The 21,619-nt window shown below is 38.9% G+C and overlaps 1 long non-coding RNA gene across 1 annotated transcript in view; it reads left to right on the forward strand.

Annotated features, from left to right (window-relative positions):
• Positions 1-20,380, forward strand: part of LINC01014 (long intergenic non-protein coding RNA 1014) — a 38,105-nt gene extending 17,725 nt beyond the window's left edge. The window contains exons 2-3 of the long non-coding RNA NR_046786.1: positions 19,689-19,849; positions 20,169-20,380. This is a non-coding gene — a long non-coding RNA (long intergenic non-protein coding RNA 1014). The remainder of the gene's footprint in view (positions 1-19,688; positions 19,850-20,168) is intronic.
• The last annotated feature ends 1,239 nt before the right edge of the window (positions 20,381-21,619 follow it).

A 21,619-nucleotide genomic window follows, 5' to 3' on the forward strand; every position in this document is an offset into this window, starting at 1 on the left:
AAAAAGCCAGAATAATTCTGATACAGATCAGAAGCTCTCAAATGTTGGCTTCAGACTAGCAGTGTCACCATCACCTTGGAACTTGCTCAAAAGGCAGATTCTTGGGCCCTACCGCAGGCCTATTGAATCATAATCTCTAGGGGTGGGCCCCAACAATCGTGTTTTAATAAGTGATAATGTTGCATGCTAAAAGATGAGAATCACTGAGATAGAAAATCAAGTTTGCATGAAAATCAGATAATAGTTTTTCACATTGAGGCAACATGATAATATACATTACAAATGTTATTTCCTAATGAATGCAATATTCTCTTTTCAGAGTCAACAGCATGGACAAACCTCAATCACCAATATCATTTCTGTTGGCCTTATTAATTACTTACTATGGGCCTAGTATTTCACCAGTATCAACTCATTTACTCTTTATAACAACCCAGCACGGCCAGTGCTCTTCTCTCTCTTTTTATAGATGAGGAAGTAGAGGCTTCGATGTCACAAGACTGCCTCTTATTACGCAGCAAGTAAATGAGAAGACAGTACTCAATATCGGCGAGGTCTTGACACCAAAGCCCTTGCTTTTCTTCTTTATGCCCATGTAGGGTTGTCAGATTTAGCAAATAAAACTACAGAACATGCAGTTAAATTTTAATTTCAGATAAACAACAATTTTTTTAGTATACATCCCATGCAGTATTTGAGACATACTTACACTGAAAATGTTATTTGTTATTTATCTGAAATGTGATTTGATTAAGAATAATTTTATCTGGACACCCTATCCTGTTGTCTCTATCTGTGTGCATTCCAATCAGTTGCAGAAAAAGGAACTAGAAAATAATCTTTCTTAAGGGTTATTAGGAATAAATCTGAGCATGGGCCTCACTCCAGAAGCTGCAGTTTAACGTCCGTCCCAGGTGATTTGTATGCACATTACTGTTCAAGGAGCAGTGGCCTTAGAATGCTTACAATCCAAAATGACTGTGGTCTAGAGCTGGGGACCAAATTTAAAGACCCCTCCAGACCTGAGAGTCTATGAATCTATGAGGAAAGTGAATGTGAGATAGAATAGCAGTTTACTATTTTTTGCACTTACTTAAAATTCTGATACAACTTTATATGAGGCAACAAAAATATTTAAAAATCAATAAATATTTTCTTTATAGAATTACAATACTTGATTAGGTTTTTGAGGATAGGAATAAAATTAAGTAGAATTTTATGATTCTTTTGCAAAGCATTACAAGAAATATCTTTAATATTGGATTTGAACTGTCTTCAAATCAAGTCACAAACAGAATATTTACAGCAGAAATAATGCTACTCATTTTATAAGTAAGAATACTTTTGTTGAAATCCATAACATCAAGTATGAGATGCAGAGAGAGTAAAATAGTTTCCCAAATGATACAAGTACTTATTCATTCCATGTTTATTGAACACCTGGGGGAGGTGAAAGGTGAAGGTGTGTTACGATAAACATCTGCAATTCATGTGGGATGTTATGGCACCCCTTTATGCAAAACTTTAAATAAATGGTCTGTTCCAGGAACCTGCTTCAAGTTGCTGAGACAAGAATGACAGCCAGGCTGGGCGCGGTGGCTCATGCCTGTAATCCCAGCACTTTGAGAGGCTGAGGCAGGCAGACTATGATGTCAGGAGTTTGAGACCAGTCTGGCCAATATGGCGAAACCCCGTCTCTACTAAAAATACAGAAATTAGCCGGGCATGGTGGCGCACGCTTGTCGTCCCAGCTACTCAGGAGGTTGAGGCAGAAGAATCACTTAAACCCGGGAGGCGGAGGTTGCACTGAGCTGAGATCGCGGCACCGCACTCCAGCCTGGGTGACAGAGTGAGACTCCCCCCCTCCGCCCGCAAAAAAAAAAGAATGACATCCAACAGTTCCTCCTGCCATGCCTACAAAAATCATTACAGCTCAAATAAACATATGGGTCAGCTCATTTAGCAGACATGTATTAATTTCCTACTATGTGCCAGGCTTTAAAGAATGGGCTTATATGTGAGAAAAAAGGGGCAAGGAAATATCATCATGTGCCATGATCCAGTGGACTAGGAATGATGGTACTATCCAGGACAGAACCTTGAAATGGAGAGAGACGTGTGTGCGTGTGTGCGCGTGTGGGCGCGTGTGTGTGTGCGTGTGTGTGTATGGGGTTGGTGAAGAGAGGTTGGATACAACATCAGGAAGCCAGGCTGGGGGATCTGATTAGAAAACTTCTGCAGTCTCCAGTCTTGGACTTACTATCATTGCCTTGCCTCTAGCCACAATTAAAGAAAAGTAATTCATTTCCATCTGCCTGGTTTTAAGTAACTGGAAAGTCTTTCTGCTTTAATTCGTATGCATTTTCCATATTTTTTTCTCTCTGACATTAATTTGCACAGGGCTTAGAAAAAGGTACTTCATTAACTATTAACCATGGTACTTAAGAAGTTGGGGACTTTCAAATCATTAATCATATTAAAAATATATAAATCCACCTCTCTTCACATTTGGCCCACAGAGGTTCACGTTATGAAAAGAGTTTTAGTGATTTATTTGGTCTTGAACCACAAGGTTCTGTTTTTCTTAAATCCCTATAAACAGTCTACATTTTGGACACTGAACAAGTAAATGTATGTTGCATTTTCTCACTGAATCCACAGGGTTATTAAAATGTATACTTATTCCCCAAATAATCCAAGCTCAAGCACTTGAATAAGAATACCTCAAGGCTTTCCTCTTTCATTTGCTTTGTGGACAGCAACTGCAAGGCAGGGATGAGTCAGCACGTGTGTCCAGCTAGCAGGAATAGGCAGTAGCCCTGGTTTATGCTAAGCCATAGGGGAATTTTGCAGTCATTTTGTGCTTCACTGTCCAGGTTTTTCAACATCAGTGGAACCTTTTGTGTTTCACCCACTGTATGGAAAAATCCACGACTGTCCTAAGAAACCTGAGAACAAACACCCATCTGCCTATCCTTCCAACACAGGCTATTAACCACAGTAGCATGTACCCCGTTCTGGGCTGATACTTAACATTTTGGGTTTTCATCCTTACAAATTTACATAAAAATATGTGTGATTATCTCAATTTGACAGAGGAAAAGAAAACACAAGGTCAATCAGCTAGCCAATGGCAAGGGGAATCTAACAGATCTGTCAAAAGCCAAAGTCAGTTTTGTGTTCACTAAGATGTACTATTTCCTTACTCCATATAAAATGTAATAAAAAACAAATGAAAAAAAAGCAGACTTGGAAGGAAAAGGCGATGACTGTGGCAAATGGGCAATATTAGGTTCGAGTGTGGAGCGGGGTGGAGCTCAGAGCAAAGTCAGCCAGCCAGGCCTACTGATTATGTAAATATTAAATGTGTTTATACCAGTGTTCATTAATCTCCATTTGCACCTGACGGGAGGTAATTCTCCATGGCATTTCTGTGAGTCTTGTGACAGCTTTTGTTTAGAATGATCTTTATAGCAAACAGCCTTGGAAAGTAGATATTGTGTCTAGTGTACCTCTCTAGGATAGAGAGAGGGAAGATTTGTTTCCTGACCAGGACAATATAGATAACTTCTTCCCCAAGGGACAAAGATTTGGCATGTTTTCTAGCATCCCTCTTGAGTGGCTTCCTAAGTTCAGTGTTCCCCAGCTGTGACACAACTCACAGTGTGTACAGTATCCACCAGGACCTGGCTTCGCATGGGCCCCAGGGAAACTGGAGGGTAAGGGGAGCTGAAGCCAACAAGAAGCTCATGCTGCCTATTGTCCCAGGAGCAATCAACTGAGTAAAGCGATGTGTGTTCATTGTCTCCTTACCAGTCAAACCTATAGAATTCTGCAGAGCTGACCTAAAACCTTCCTGATGCTGCTTAGGGACTGCTTGACAGCATAATCAGCTCCTGCATCCCCATCCCTTCTCCACACTTCTTTGTCTTGTTCTGAGCCTGGGCTTCCTTGCCTCTGGCTTCCTGGTTAGGATTGGCATAATGGGATGTGCTAGGGGAGATGGGAAAATGGGAAGAGTGAGAGGTCAGGGTATTTATTCTTCTTGCTCCTTCTCTGCCTCTGTGGCTACAGCTCCTGCTTGTAGTCTCTCTTTCATAGCCAGACTCTGGTAAAAACAGTGCTCTTGGAAAAATATTATGTCACTCTTGCTAGACCTTGGGTGTATCACTATTAAAAGCTTTCACCAGCTGGGCACAGTGGCTCACGCCTGTAATCCCAGCACTTTGGGAGGCTGAGGTGGGCGCATCAGGAGGTCAGGAGATCGAGACCATCCTGGCTAACATGGTGAAACCCCGTCTCTACTAAAAATAAAAAAATTAGCTCGGCGCGGTGGCGGGTGCCTGTAGTCCCAGCTACTCGGGAGGCTGAGGCAGAAGAACGGCATGAACCCGGGAGGCAGAGCTTGCAGTCAGCCAAGATCATGCCACTGCACTCCAGCCTGGGCGACAGAGCAAGACTCCATCTCAAAAAAATAAAAAAAAAAAAAAAAAACCTTTCACCCTGCCAAAATCTCTATAAACAGCTTTCACAAAGCTATCTGCAGTAAACTATTTTGGATGTGCCACCTTGTTTTTAAAAATAAGTTAAGGCAGTCTCTTACATGTATGAAACAGGTTATACACATATACATAAAATACTGCTTTTAAAACTGTAAATTACCTCTTGTCCTCATCGTACTGAGTCTTTGCAGCCACCTTGGACCTCCATAAGGCAAAGATACTTGCCTTAATTTATGGTACTCTCAGGAAGGCTTTGACTGGACTGTGTTACAAATGCATTTTCACCTGCTCCTGGCCATTTGTTTTGATGCCTATAGAAGTCCCGTGGGTGGCCATGTTAGTGGCCATGTTAAAGATGCCCTCTTTGTCAGCATGCATCTCACTGCACCTCTTCTCGCAGATAGTTATGGTTCCCAGTGTGCAAATAATACACTTTAAGTCTTGGTATAGTTAAATAAATGTAAAGAAAATTTAAAAAGGACCACAGCATAAAAACTTTCTACATAAACTTAGATCATTTGAGGAAACTTCAAGTGAACTCAGAACCACAGTTTGTAGTTGGAAGAGATCTCCAAAGATGTTTAATAAAACTCTCTCATTGTACAGTTCATTTGATTCTTGGAAAATGAAAATTGCATGAATTCATTTTAGTCCCTGTCATAATCATCACATTTTCCCTTTTTTAAATATTATTTCTACAATGCAGCAGAATAAATTACAAGAAGAGTTCTAAAATTCCAAACTAATAGAAAAGTATATTATCCCAGTAGTACATACGAAGAGAAAATTACTAAGTGGTTTGTTTCCTTTTGTTGACAGTAATTACGACGATGAGGCTATGATGCTCATGCTAGGTCTCAAAGGATGAGCAGGTGTGGACCAGGAGGATGAGACTGTGCAATGGCAGCTCTAACAGAGCAGGCAGCCTAGGCAAAGGCCTGGAAGGGAGAAAGAAATTGATGTATCCAGGGAGCTAAAAGCAGGTCAGAGTTATAGAAGCATAAGCTAGAATTGAGGGAAAACAGAGGAGAGAAAGGTGAATGCTACCATTTAAAATTATCTGTTTCTAGCCACACAGCCAGGTTTTCTCACTATAAATGCCTGCCAGCACTGGGCTGGAGAATAACCAAGATCAAAAACACTCAGGTTCTCAATTGACCAAACAATCATGATTAACTATTTGAGAGCCCTATTTCCATTAATAGTTCTTTAGCACTTGCTGCGCGTCTAAGCACCACAACAAGTGATTCTATCAAAATCCTAAGTAATTTTGATTCAAATTATGTGGTCGTTATGAACCAAGGTCAATGCATCTATTGAGCAGTTTCCATCACGAGTGTCTCTCCAAAGAGTTGTTTTTTTATTCTCTCCCATGAAGTCTAAATCCAAAAAGCATCTAGATCAATGCAGTTCAAGATAAAGGCTGGGCTCTACATGGATGAATGTGAGTTTGCACAAGGAGCTGTCAGTGGATAATTACCGTTTCCGCAATCTACATCAGTAACTCCTAAAGCCTCACCTAAGTAGCCATACAAATATAAGTAAAAATAGAATGCTTGTTACTTTGATACAACTTCCAGGCAGGTTGCCCATCACTTAGCACCTCCCCAAAATCCAGTGTCTTCTCTAGACTTCTCTATATAGAAATGTGACCTAAGTAGAATTTCTGCATAATATTTTTAAGGGAGGAGTTTTGAGAAAGAGAAAAGTTATCTCAGAAACTAGGACTTAAAGTATAATTTTAAAAAAGAGGAAAAAAAGGTAGGAATGAATAAAAAGATACTATGTTTCTGCTAGCAAACAATTTATATTTTAACTAAGTAGATAATTATTTTAAAAAGCAATTAATAAGAGACAGTTAGACAAGACCCTTTGGTTTAATGCTCTGCTGCTGCCATCTTGAAATTCTTAATGATTTTTAAACAAAGGGTCCCATGTTTCCTTGTATTGGGCTCCACAAAGTATGTCTCTACTCTTGCCTGTGATATGGGAGTCCTCAGATGGGCAGGCATTGCATGCACAACTGGTCAAGGAAAGCAAATGGAAAAGAAAGACTTAATCCAGGCTTTAAATAAAATTTAGGAGGTAAATAATTTAGGCAAGGGGAGGGGGGAGACTTAAAATTCTGAATTAATACTCTTCCTGGGAAAACAGCAAAAAAAGTAATAATAATAAATTAAAATTAAAGCCTAAAATTAATCTCCCAAAATGGTTTCAAAAAATAAGTTACTCTGTTTAGGCTTTGCCTGTTTTCTCTGACTTAAATAGCTAGTATATTTACTTAAATCTACATTGTTGCTTCAGCTTCCAGAAAGGATTTATTATTGTACACAGACCATGAAATAAGTTCATAATTATCAGAGAATTCCACAAGGTGTCAGCCTCAAGCTAAAATGATAAATCCAACGCTGGGAAATAGTTTTAATTTTAAGAAATGAAGATTTGAAGTCTCCATTTTGAATTCTGTGTCTGGGGCCTGTAGTAATGTAGCAGCCCCTATTTGTTGGGTGCCTCGTACATGCTAGGCACTTAACATACATTATTTCTAATCTTTAAAATAACCCTGTGCTATGGTGTGAATGTTTATGTTCCCCCCCAAATTCATATATTGAAATCCTAAGCCCATTGTGATGTTTTCAGGAGGTGGGGCCTTTGGGAAGAGATTAAGTCATGGGGCAGAGCCCTTATGAATGGAATTAGCATCCCTAACAAAAAAGGCACAGGGGAGCTTATTTGCCCCTTCCACCTTGTGGGGATGCAGCTAGAAGGCACCATCTATGAGGGAGCAGGCCCTCGCCAGACACCGAATCTTCATGCACCTTGATCTTGGACTTCCCAGACTCCAGAACTGTGAGAAATAAATTTTTCTTGTTTATAAACCACCCAGTCTATAATATTCTGTTACAGGTGCCCGAATGGACTGAGATATCTCTATTGATTTTAATCCCCATTTTACAAATGAAAAAATATGGTTAATGAGTGTTAAGTCAATTTCTCAAGGCATACAGCCAGAATCAATATTCAAAGACAAAACTATCTGAACCCAAATCCTGTGCAATTTCTGCCATACTGCCTCAAGGCCTCAAACAAACAAAGCAGTAAAAAGAGTTCAAGAATGGATATAAAACAAACTCTGGGACTGTCTCCTGTCCAGGCTCTATTCTACAGCAGCTAAGGGTGCTGGACCGTCACACTGGACCTAATAAACATCAACCCAGCAGCTCCTGTCTCCTGGGTTTTTGAGCACAATAGGGCCGCCCACCAGGGCAACTCCCAGGCTATAGAACCCTGCAAAAGGGCATTTCAATATCCACTGGTTTTTATCATCATCTATTATTATTGTTATCTAGTATTGTATAAGTTTCAAAGTAATGTTTGGTGTAAATCATAAGCATTAATATTACTGTTGCTTCCAGATGTTCCTGATTTCCCAATCACACCAGCAGGAATTTCTGCTCTCAGGAGCCTCCTCTATAGCTGTAGTTTCTTGACCCAGACCTACAAACTCAGCCCTTTGCCTTCTGAAGCTCTGGGGCCATTCTTCCCTTATTTAGAAGGTGATTCAATATTAAGCTTACGGCTGGTTGTTCTGTGCAACATTGTAGTTGAACCTTAGACAAGCCCCTGTCCGTCCCAGGCTCTTGTCATTTGGACCCATTGCTTTGTTGTGCTGAACTTGAATCCATGCCTTGGGAAGGCAACAACTAGCATGAGGATTAATATCTCTGGCTCTGAGTTTGAGTCCCAGTACCATCACTTTTAGGGTGACCAACCATCCTGGTTTGCCTAGGATTGTCCCGGTTTCAGCACCAAAAAGTCCAGGATCCCATGAAATTCCTCAGTCACAGGCAAACGGAGATGGTGAGTCACCCGAAGTTTACTTCCTAACTGTGCAACCTTGAGCAAGTCACCTAACCTCTCAGGGCCTGATATGTAAAATAGGTAAAATACTAATATTTACTTTATCACATCATTTTGAAGATTAGATGAGTTATGTATACAGTGCTTAGCATAGAATAAGCATGCAATACATTTTAGTTAATAATATTATTACTCTTGGCCCGCTAGTACTCACTCAGCCTATCATTCTTCTAGAGCTCCTAGGACTGGAAGATTGCTTTGTTCTTGCCAATCATTTCCAAGAAAGGGAAGTCCTGCCCTAGAGCCCAAGATAAAAAATTGGGGCCCTTCCTGCCCTCTATCTACCCTTGCTTTTTCATTTTTCTTGTTCCTACGCTATCAGCTCTCCTACTTAACAAGCCTCTGGGAGCTCTTTGTTTTTAAGCATCAGTAACCATTTTGACAGTTCACACTCCCAAAAGCCTCAGTGACCATGAGAATGTCCCTCTAAAAAGGCAAAGCCAGTGATCATGGGCCCAGGAGGGAAGGTCTGAGCCTGGTGGTGCCTAAAATCTGAATGTGGCTGAAAATGTACACCCTGATTCTATTCATGGGTATAATAACATGAATCTAGCCTCGAAAATAATTTTGTTGACTTGGCCAATAATCCTTCTCAATTCAACTGCATCTAATGTCCTGTGTAATTAATGATCTTTCTCCAGCCAGGCGTTTAATGGCTGTCATGTTTGACTACACTTTGACATGTATATCTTCATCATCATTATAAATATTGCATTTTACTACTTTATAAAAAAATTATATGCATAATTAGATTCTGTTTTATTTTATAAAATAACGTTATTTTTCTTTGCAGCAAGAAAAGGAAAACATGGCTAGAAGTGGTGCCTGCTCTATTTTCTTTTTCCATCTTCTGTATACTTGTGTTTATGTTCAAACACATTAAAACTATATGTACATATTGCCTCACTTAGGAAAGCTTGCCAACACATTCTGGCTATATGTTATCTACTATTCAGGAAATCATAACCAAGAGTCTACAACTGAAAATAGCATGCTTTATTTCTATCTTCTAAAAAGATACTCAGGGTTTATATTTCCTCTTCATAGGATACTGTCACTAAATTTTTAGGCTTTGTCATTTTAAGTACAATCAATACCTTGGGGCAGTAATATCTATATTTTATCCATTATCTTCTTGTCTAAAATGTCTTATTAAACAACTGAATGGCTTATTTGCACAGGAGAGCCATTTTGGATAATTTTTAATGCAGATTTCTGTGTAGCTCAAGTCTACCTTCTTCCCAAGGCTTGACTGAAGTTCTCAGGTGATAACTCAGTAGACTTCCTTCTTCCTGTTCCAGCCTAATTTTGTATTCTTCTCTGAGAAGGGGATACAAGATGGGTCCCCAAGAGCTGCAGTCCCCTCTGACTCTGTGGGAGAGATTCACCTATCTACACAATATCTAGGCCAATTCTCTGGTTGGCTGCATAGGCCCAGTCTGAAGAGAGAGCTGGGGTTGGAGTATTTGCTAGTTCAGCTGGGGAGGCATCTGCATCTGGATCCCTGATCCACATGCCATGATTAAACAGGAACCCTCAAAGAATTAAGGTATTACTACAGATGATCTCTCTATTAACCTCCAACCTTTGGGTTTTACAACTTTGTGATTTAAAATGAATGGACTTGAGCTATAAAAGTTACAATATACTCATGGTGAAGAATAGGTCTATAATGCTGGAATGGGAGGCTCTGGTTTCTGGAAAAGTCAATCAGGAAACGACATAGTAGGGATAGAGATGGCAGGAGCTTGAGTGTGGAAAAAGAGAGAAGAGCTTCAAGGCACTTTCCTTTGACATGTTTGAAGGAAACATTGACTGTGTCAGCATTACTTGCCCAGCACAATTGCCAATATACTATTAGGAACACCAGAGACAACAAAAAGAACTCACCTAATGAAAGAATATTGTCTTATTCTAAATCAATCAATCCTTTAATTAAAGACTTCTTGGTCCTATGCAGGTGAATATATCACCATCACGCCAATGCATGTTTTTCTTGTTGTGAGCATCTGTTCTTTGGATATTCCCAGAAATGAAACTTCACGGGACATAAAATCCTGCATCCTTAGGATGTTAGACCTAAGGATATTAGCTAATCATCTAGCTAATCTCCTTTTGCAGGTGAGAGAACAGTTCAAATTGTGAAGCACAGGTGTATCCAGACAGGCCTTACCTCTCCAACAGTGTTTCAGGATTATAATTTTTCATTACCACAAAAAGAGAGGTAGAAAATTACAGGTTTTGAATGTAATCATAATCCTTTAAAAATACCCCTTGCTCTTGATCTCTGAATTATTATACCAGTTCCAATAAGTTAAGGTTGTCATTAAGTTTTAACTTAATCTCGAAAAGAACTAAGAAAGCTACATGATCTCACAAGGAGAAATACATGGAAAATTTTCCAGCTCATTGCCCCTGACTTTTTATACAATTATGCGTTTGTAAATCCTAATTGTACCTCTGCGATCTGTATCAGCACACTCTATTGGAAGTGGCTCTCATTATGATCTCAGACCTAGCACAGAGTTCCTGAAGTACCTACATTTCTAGAAGACATGGAAACTTTCTGAGAGTCAGAAAGTTCTGTGCAATTTCAGATTGGTTCATTAGCATAATTGTTTCAACATTAAAAAGAAAGATTCAGGCAATTTAAGATGTTTATGTAGAAAAATATGTCTATAACTGTCTCCTCGACAACGTAACATGGAAGAACCACTGATTCACTGTCCAGAATCACCTCATCAATAGCAAAAAGTGCTTCCACTTCTTTAACTGTTGCTCACAAGTATTGGCATCCTGCCTATAATTTCTTTCTTGAAGAAATTCTGTTCCATTAATTCTGAAATTCAGGCACTTCCATATACTCACTTAATCTTACACATCCATGCTAATAATGATTATTTACTTAAAAATGAGTTGATGGCTCTAAAGAATGACAGAGGGATCCAGCCATACCGTTTGTAGTAAGTATTCCAATCTTTGACTCAGTGGATTAATCACTACCAGAATGAAACACGATCTCACCCACAATACTGGATAAGGTATAACTAGCAATGATATAATGGTATTCCAGACTTTTGTATAAATTTATTCCATTTCCAGGTTTCTTATATGACTTACTTCCAAATCAGAAGATTATCTCTGCTCAGAATATAAAAGTTGATAGCTTCCCAAGAGAATAGAAACATCAAAGACAGAAAGCCTTACTTTGATCTGGATTCCTCAAGGGTAGGGAAGGGAGGATGAGTTCACCCAAGAATAAAACAAAACTTTACACCATGCAGCCCCCATCTGACTTGTAAAGAAATTTTTCTCTCAGGCCTCATTTATTCACTCTTTCATTCATTTGGCCAACATTTATCGAGCACCTACTATGTGCCAGGTACTAGGCCAACATCAGGAATTCAAAAGCAAATAAGCTATGTTCCTTCTCTCAAGGAGCTCATCATTAATCAGCCATGTTAGCAAATAATTACAGTGCTCCATTCAGGCTGATATCTACAGTAAATGCTTATGTAATTCATGAGCAGATCACACAGATCAACCTTCAACGCTTTCTGTATTTATTGAATTGGTATTAGTATCTCCGCATATCCCCTCAAAGACTCACAATTTCATACTTTGGATGATTCTTTCAATAATGCTTTGCCTTTGACTAAAATAATCAATACCTGACCACAAAGATGCCCAAAGTTATTAACCATGCAATTTCACATCTTTCAGGAATTTAATCCCACACTTGCTTCCTCCTCATACACATATACACACAAAGCATTTGTCTCACAGTGAGTTAATTCCTGAGTGCTTTTTCAGGCTCCCTTGGCCTATAGATACCATTCAATTAGAGTGACAGGCAGTGAGTCCACTTACCACCTGATACCCCAAAACACTTCAGGAACATCAGGTAGGTAACTCTTGACATCAGGAAGACTGACCATTAAACCAAATCCTAGCTATAGGACTGGAGTTTAGAGGCATGAATTTTCTACTTGTACAGATATTACAAGATCAAGAAAATAGTCACTATTATTGAGTCCTCATCATAAGCCAGGCACTGTGTGTTAAGTATTTAGCAGGTATTATTTCATCCTCACAAAAATGAGGTAGATACTGTGTATTAGCCCATTTTCATGCTACCAATAAAGACATACTCGAAACTGGGCAATTTACAAAAGAAAGAGGTTTAATCGGACTTACAGTTTCACATGGCTGGAGAGGCCTCACAAGCACGTTGGAGGGCAAGGAGGAGCAAGTCACATCTTATATGGATAGCTGCAGGCAAAGAGAGAGTTTGTGCAGAGCAACTCCCGTTTTTTAAAACTATCAGATCTCATGAGACCCATTGACTAGCACAAGAACAGTATAGGAAAGACCCACCCACATAATTCAGTCATCCCTCACTGCGTCCCTCCCACAACACATGGGAATTATGGGAGCTACAAGATGACATTTGGGTGGGGACACAGAGCCAAACCATACCATACTGCTATTATCCCCATTTTAGAGATAAAGCAATTGAGGTCAAATAACTTGCTGAAAGCTACATAACAGTAAGTGGTGAGGCCCTGATGGAAAGCCCAGCATGCTGACTTCAAAGCCCACTGATTAGGAGGACATAGTTAAAGAAACTGGAACCCAAGATCTTAGGGTGGCACTATTAGGACATCTGAATGCTGACTTTAACTTTTCATATTTCCTTTGAGGACAAAATTTTCCTTAGATTTTGATGAACACCAAGTGCCATGGCAAAAGTCCATTAACCACACAATTTTGTCTCATCTTAGTAGAGCCTGATTTGCACAGCCAACTGCTTCCAAATTTTACTGTTTCTGCTGTATCACAATGGCTGTTTATAAAGCTTTTCTCTGGTACAGATGTAAAAGACAGTAAGGAGTTCTGAAAGGATCAATAGGACTATAAAAAATAGATTCTCAAGTTTTACCATCTCTGTCTTATGAAGTTAGCCCTTTATTTATTTATTTATTTAGCTATGAGTGAGTACAATGCTGATTGCACCTGAAGAACATTTTATATTCTGTTTCAGAAACTTGTTAATACCTTGCTTATTAATTAGAAAATAGTGTGGGTGCCTTGTATTCGGGCTAGGAAAGAGACTCCCATTGCCCCGAGTCTCCACTAAAACAGAGCACAGAGCCAACCACCTTTAACATCCAAAAATGAGCCTCTTAGACATATCAAAGTAAGTCTAGCTGAGAGCTGTGTAGCAGACAGCCACAGGGCCCCATCATGATTAATGGTGTCAGTATGAAGTCCCATGTCTGTCATCTGGGTGCAATGTTTGTGATGATGGCATATTCCGCCTTTCAATTCTCACTTTCCTCTTAAGGAAGACTGCTCATTTTTATCCTCTGAGCATGTTCCTAACAAGACGGATGTACCATCACACGTTTAAGGAGGAAGAAAAAAGGGCAACTGCAGGAGTTCAAGTAAAAAATGAAAGCTGAATCATTCTCAGTAATATCCCAAATTTATATCCCTTAGTATCACAAACTGAATTACCTCTATAAACATTAGTTTAGAAAAACAACTTTTCACTTACAGCTGCATGGTAAAGAACCACATCACCTCCATACAGGAAGGATCTTATTTTCAATCTAATGTGCCAATGGCAGTTTCCAATAAGAAGAAGCAATTTGCCAGCCTTGCCAATTACAATTTGTCCTTGGCTGAAGATGACAGCAAAGTCTGTGCCTCTGGTTCATTGAAAACATCAGAAAGATATCCCTAATACTCAGTCTGTTTCTCTGTGAAGTTAAGCATTAAGGAGGTGATTAAAATTCAGCTTAATTTTGGTACCAAATCAAAGGAAAGACATTGCTATCTGATGGTAGGAGAGGGTTTCAAAACTATCCAAAGCAGCAATGACATGTATTTACATTCCAAGCCCTGTGGATGACATTGAAGCTTGGTGCCTCCAGTTTCACCCTCGCCAGGAAGTGGCTGTTCTGTATCCCATGGATATAGGGCTAAAGGAGGTATCGACACTTACTGCACACAGATTGATTTAAACATGCAGCTCTTGCCTCACTTAATACCTCTTTTATTAAAAGATGACCCTTGGCCATGAAAGAAAGGTCTGGGAAGAAATGGCTCTTATTGTGACACTGGTTTTCTGTGTAATGATCAGAAAATTATTTTCCCTCATTTTGCCCAAGCTATAATGTTAAGACACATCAGAGAGTTGATTTGTGAGGTTGCTATGATGACAGAATCACATGAAAAAGCAGATTGGAGATATCTGCTGTGTTAATAGGCTTTTAAAGATAAGTAAACCGATGACACCCAAACAATTATCCAAGAAAACACTTTTGAAGTTGGTCTGCCACTATTACATCAATGCAACACTGGATTATTAGTGTGAGGAAGTGGGAGACTTTGCTTGCTAATTAAAGGTAATACTTATGTCCTGACAATGATTTGATGCACAGGAAATTAAGCCTAAATTATCTCCTCTGGTTCAAGCATCAAATAAATGTTTTAGGGAGAGACATGATCTGGTGATTTATTTATTAATTCAATAACCCTTCATTGAATGTCAACTCCATGCCTGATTGGCTTCACTAGAGGCACAAAGGTGAGTAAAACTGGGCTCCTGCCTCAAAGGACTTGCAGAAGACTGAAGGGGGCACACCTGCTCCTCAGCCCTGGCCACTACACTTGCCCTCACTTGGAGGCTCACACTCTTCATGAGCTGCCTGCCCACTTTCCATGCTGATCTCTGTGGGAACACACTCTACTCCATTTTTACCTAATTAACTCCTACTTATCATTCAGATTTTAGCTCTGTGCCTGGCACATGGTATTTGCTCAATAATTATTATTGAATGAATGACTAAATGAACAAAACATCATAATACAATACAAGAAGTTCTCAGATACAGGAGGAAGCAAACAGCTCTTGGGCGCTGGGACCATGTTAAGGATATCAAGGAAGGCTTCACAAAGGGCATTTGAGCTCGTGGTATTTGAGATAGATTTTGAATGGAATTGAAGGGTAAATAAGGGCAACATGAAGAGAGGGTTACAAAGTGGTGAGAAAAAAGGAAAACTTATACTAAACAAAGGGAACATCATCTGCAAAGGCATGAAGGTATAAATGAGAATGAAGTGTTGGACAAACAGCAAGTTTAGGGTGACTAAAACATAGAGCACATTGAGAACAGTTTAAACTGGAAAGTATGTATGAACTCTATGTTGAAGGCCTTAGATGCCATAGTTAAAAGTACTGATTTTTTTCCTAAGGTGATGGGAAGTCTTTGAAGGCTTATACATAGGTGTATCTATTGAGATTCAGAGGCAAAGTAAGTGAAAAACAGTAACCACTCTAGCTTAAGGAGAAAAAGAAGAATTTATTAAAGAATATTAAGTAGTTCAGAGACACTCTGGCAGAGACTGTGAGTCCAGACTTAGAGACTCCAGCAAAGACCACTGAGCACATACTCTAGCGGTCACATCAAGACCCTGGGCACTAGGCAGCAAAACCTCCCCCAGTACTCTAAGAAAGCCATTCCTGTCACCCTCAACAGAAATGAATTCCACACAGCACCTCCTTCCTCCCATTGCTTTTTGTCTAATCATAGTCATGCTTATATTCTTCTGATTGGCCCAGGTCGTATGCCAGCACCATAGCTGCAAGGGAGACTGGAAAGTGAATTTCTAGCTTCTATCTAGGAAACCCTGATGTGAGAAATTCCAAGCACAGAAAAGGTATTTCAAAGAAGCTAAAAGGCTACAAATCATAGAAACTATCCACTGCCACATGGAAGATGCATAATCAAGTTGACATCATAAAAAGATTCATTTGGTAGCATTATTGAAAATGGATTGGAGAAGAGGAGAGTTGGGAGACAAGGGGATCAATTTAGAAGGTTAGAGCAGGCAAAAGACGAAAAGAACATAGACTTTAGTGCTGACTGTGGACACAGAAGAGTGAACACAGAACAAGGATATAAGATCTAGGAAGCAAGAACCTGGTCTGTCTTTTCACTTCTGGAACAACAGCACATAGCAGGTGTTCAATAATTTTTGCTTTTATTGTTAAAGAGTAATTTACATACAATAAAATTCACCTTGTTTGTGAATTTTGAAAATTGTATATCATAATGTAACCACTACCACCATCAAGATATAGAACAGTTCCATCACCCCCTAAATTTCTTCATGTTGCCCTTTCATAGTCAATCTCACAACTCCAGCCCCTGGCAACCACATACACACAGTATGTAACCTTTCGAGTCTGGCTTCTTTCATTTATCATAGTGTGTTTGAAGTTCATCCTTATTGTGGTTGTATCAGTACTGTGGTACATTTCTGTTTTTTCCTTAGTAATATTCCGTGGTACAAATATACCAGCATTTATCCAGGCCCCAGTGGAAAGATATTAGAGTTGTTTCTAGTTTGATGGAAAATAAATCATCCATATGTTTGTTCCAAAATAATTTTTATTTCATTTGGGCAAATACCTAAGAATAGAAGCACTGGGTCATATTATCAGCATATGATTAACTTAATAAGTCAATTATCAGCATATGATTAACTTAATAAGTTAATAAGTTACTGGAAACTGTTTTCCAAAAGCAATGTATTAGAGTTTAAGTTACTCTGCATCCTTTCATGTACTTGAGATTGTCATTTTTTAAAGTTATTCCAATAGGTATCCAGTAGTACCTCATTATGGTTTTAGTTTGCATAATAGGTATCCAGCAGTACCTCATTATGGTTTTAGTTTGCATAATAGGTATCCAGCAGTACCTCATTATGGTTTTAGTCTGCATTTCCCTGAAGACTAGTCATGTTAAACATCTTTTCATATTCTTATTTATATTTGATTGATCTTTTTTGATAAGATGTTCAAATATCTTGCCGTAACTGTTAAATAAATATTTGATGAATTTATAAGCAAACTTACACTAAAGATATTTAGAAAAATAAAGTTACCTCCACCTGAAATAATTGGACATTGCTAGGGAAAGGGAAAGGATGGAGTCGAGGAGCACACCACACTTTTAAGTGAATATTGATTAAGAGAGTTTAGCCAAAGGATTTAGAAAGCATAACCAAAGATGGCTGTTCCTGAGCCTAATTAATTATTACAATTCAATAGTTTGCACCCAAACCTAAAATGCATAGAACTGGATAGCTTACTAATGCTTCCTAGAAATTTTCTGCATTTGTAAAAACAGATAAACTTCAATTAGTTTTTACCTCCTTCTTCTAAAATAAATAAGTCTTGATAGCCAATCCCATATCATTCACCAGGAAATGCTAGCAGTGGCTCAGTGTTTGCTCTACCAAAGAGTACTAAATAAAATATTCAATCACGAGAAAGAGAAATGTAAAACTGCAAGCTGTAGGCCCCAGAAGCTAATTAAATGGTTGGTCCTTTGTAATCACCTTCTCTACAGTGAAGGAAGCTGAATAGCAAGGTCAAGAGATTAGACTTTGCTGCCTTCTGAGTCATTGAAGAACCACAGGATCTTGGACAGTAGGGAATAGCTAATAGCTGACGGAAGAAGAGTTGCTTTCTTTGCCTAGGACTTCCAGATTATAAAAATAACACTGTAGGTTGCATCTGAGCCAGGCCAGCACTCCACTGGGTCTCTTGCTGCAGCTGGGAATGACGATTGCTGCATGGCCAGAGCAGCTGACAGTCGAGGGAAGCTGGAGCCAAAGAGTAGACATGGGCCCGCCAGCATATTTGGAAGCTTCATGAAAGATGAACTAATCTTGTTCTCCATTTAAACAGTTATAGTAGAACAGTAGACATCAAGACAAATTGAAAGAAGAAAATAAAATATGGAATACATATCATAGTGTTACTGTGAAGTAAAAACATTAGCTGAAAAAAAGTGCACTGTCCCTTGAATCAGCCCAAGCAATATTATGAAAAGGCCAGGCTAGGGGGTGTGAATTTTCTCCATCCTCTATTGAATCTTCCACTGGAGTAAAACAACAGTGTGGAGACCTCAAAGATCACTGATTTCAGCCCTCACTTCCTCAATAATATGTGTGATAGAAGGGTATAAGAGAGTTTATGACTCCCCCATGCACAGGAAATTATTTGGTAGCATTACAAGTTAGAACTTGGATCTGGTGATTTGCCACTCAGTCACTCTGCCAAAAATGTCAGCGAGAAAGAATGCAGCCCCAGTATGGGGTCTGTAACTACACACTTCCAAAATTTTGTATAGGGTTTTTGATAAAGCCTTTGCTTTATCCTACCCCTTTCTCTGCTCTTAAAAAATAAATAAGTTACCAGAGAACTTACCATTTAATAATTTTTAAACACATGTTATACTTAATATAAAAAAACACTCTATTTAATGTAAAGCTAAGAGGGATGAAAGAGAAGAAACAAAATTAATAGAAGAGAATTTCCATAGCATGGTCTTGTGGGAATGGCTGTATCTGGAGTTAGGTGTTAGTCCATGAACTCGGGAAATACTCCTGGGGTTCTGTTTGTTACTAAAATGAACATGTTAATGCTTTCCTATTAGGGATGTTGTTGGCTTCTCCAGATCTCCAGGATTGTGCACATTCTAGGTCACACTGTTGCAGGACTTTTCCTTAATTCAGTTAAAGATGGGGTGCTTTGTCCCACAGCCATGAAAATTCAGGCTCACAGACAATTTGAATGATGAGTGAGACAGGGTTTTATTGGGTGAAGAGGAAGAAAAGGGGGAAACAGGGACTCTTGCTAGGTCAGAGTCCCTTCTAGAGCACTTCACACCCACTGTTCAAATCCCAGGCTCCACACAGGAAGAGGAGGAGCCAGACTCCTCCCTACTACAAACATCGTAAACTTCATAAGGCTCCACCTCAGTGGGCAAGCTGGCTGGAGTTTCTCTGAGGACCCCCTCCCACCTGGCTGTCTCAGTACTGCCTGGTCATAAAATCAGAAGCCACAGAAGAGAAATCTCCCTCTTCCTGGAGGACCTATTTAGTTCTGCATTAAATAATTTTAATTATTAATTTTGTATTCAAATAAAAACACAGATAATAGAAAAGAATGCAAAATTTTAAGAAATTTAATGTAAATTACACGATTTTCAAAAAATTGAAGGTCGTGGCAAGTTCCTTTGCCTGTGCCTTCAAATATATTTTCTCTACTTCACAAACACAAATGAAAACAAAACTCACACTCCTGAGAAGTGGCAGTTATTCAGTGAAAAGAGTTTTAGAAAGGAAACATTTTGCTTGTCTTTAATACAGTTTCTTTCTTTCCTCTGTCAAATTGTTTCTAAGGTGGGAAACTACATGTGCGTGCTTGACACAACTTGAAAACAATACAAAACAACAAATCACAATTGCAAAATCATACAACACAAATGGAATCACAGTCCATAAGGGAGGCCATGAAAGAGAGAGTGCATGTGGTGGACATATTAAGCTGATATGCAGACCTGGTAAGTTTCCAAAATGTTCTGGGACTAAATCAGGGACAGGAATACACAGAGGGAAGCCCATACTTGGTCGAGGTTGGTTCACAGCAGAAATGACAGTGTAAAGATCAATAACAGTCCCTTGTTACTGAGAGGGCACCGTTTTCACATTCAGAAGGGCTTGTCCCTGGACTACATAACTGCCCAGTTATTTTTCTTCGGTAAATCAAAGCTATCAATTACAGCCTCCTAGAGCAGCTACTCCAGCTGCTGTAGGATAGACAGGGCTGAAAAGGAAAATCATTGACTGTGCATAGCTCTTTCTGGACTTGTCTCCTGCCAGGGATGGTGTCAGACAAGTGCTGAAGGCACTGTTTGTTTCCTGCCCCAATGCTGAGCTCAGACCACAACCGAATCCAGAGCCTGCCATTTATCACTTGACCACGTACATCTGAACCTGCAAGACCCTCGCACAGCCTTCACTGAGGTGTGAAAACTGACAGTTTCCTTCTCCTGCCACTGGTTCTGCAGTAATTAAAGCTTTTTTGCTATCGCACTCCTATTAGTCTCTTGGTTTTAAAGATGCTGCTAACACAGTTAAGTGTGTATTACCAAACTCTGAATTAAAGTGCTTTTACAAGCCACAAGAAAACCAGATTAAGCTAGCAATTTTTATAAGAAAATGTCTTAGTAAAAGGTTTTTACAATGGCTTTTTGAGCAGAAGTTTGAATTATTTACAGACAGTAATGATTTTCAGAAATCATTTGTTCAGATAGTAACTATTGATTGCTACTTTGAGCTAGGCACTGTTCTAACCTATACACTAACACTATTTGATAGTTGTGCACATGGATTAAACTTAAAAGAATTGTTTAAAAGTAAATGATTAATACATGCTTGTAAAAAATAAGTTAAAAAATACTCGAGGACAAAATGAAAAGCAAATGCCTTTCCCATGACCACCATTCCCATCCTACTATTAATAATTTGTTAATTCTCCAGTCATTTTTCTCTCTGTGTACAATGTGTGTGTGTGTGTGTGTATTTAAATATAAACTGTTTAATAGTGTTTTTGCTTTTGAAAAAATGTCATAATGCGATAAATACAGTTCTTTGACATAACTTTTTAATTCAGTAATGTATTGTGGACATTCCTCCATGAATCATACATATCTTTTTTATTCTTTTAACAGCTATATAATGTCATACAAAATTAACCTACCTTATTTCCCCTATCAATGAATATTAAGTTTTTTTCCAACTTTTCCCCATTACAACAAGTTAGTTATCCATGAGCACCCTTGTATTTATATCCTTGTGTATTTGGGATCGCAATTCCTCATACCCCTGTCAGTATTGGAGATTACCAATCCTATTAAATTTTTGCCAGTCTAAATCTTTTTTAAATGCATCAGTTAAGAAGTTTATTTTGTTTTTGATGTAAGAGATGGGGTCTCATTCTGTTGCTCTGGATGGAGTGCAGTGGCAGGTGTGCAAGTGTTCACTGCAATCTTGAACTCCTGGACTCAAACAATCCTCCCATCTCAGCCGTAAGAAGCATTTTTAGTGTCTTCAATAACATTTCCCAATCACTATGAAAATTGAACATTCTTTCATTTGCTGGCCATTTTCACATGTGTGTTCTACAAATTGCCAATCCATATCATGTTCTTGGCTCCTCCACGAGGCTGAGCTCCAAAACACAATGCTTTATCTTTTCATATTTGTTTGTAGAAGCTTTTCATAGAGATATCTGTACTTAGTCTTCCGTATATCTTTTGCAAGTCAGGTTT

This window comes from Homo sapiens, chromosome 3, assembly GCF_000001405.40.
Source record: "Homo sapiens chromosome 3, GRCh38.p14 Primary Assembly".
Lineage (NCBI taxonomy): Eukaryota > Metazoa > Chordata > Mammalia > Primates > Hominidae > Homo > Homo sapiens.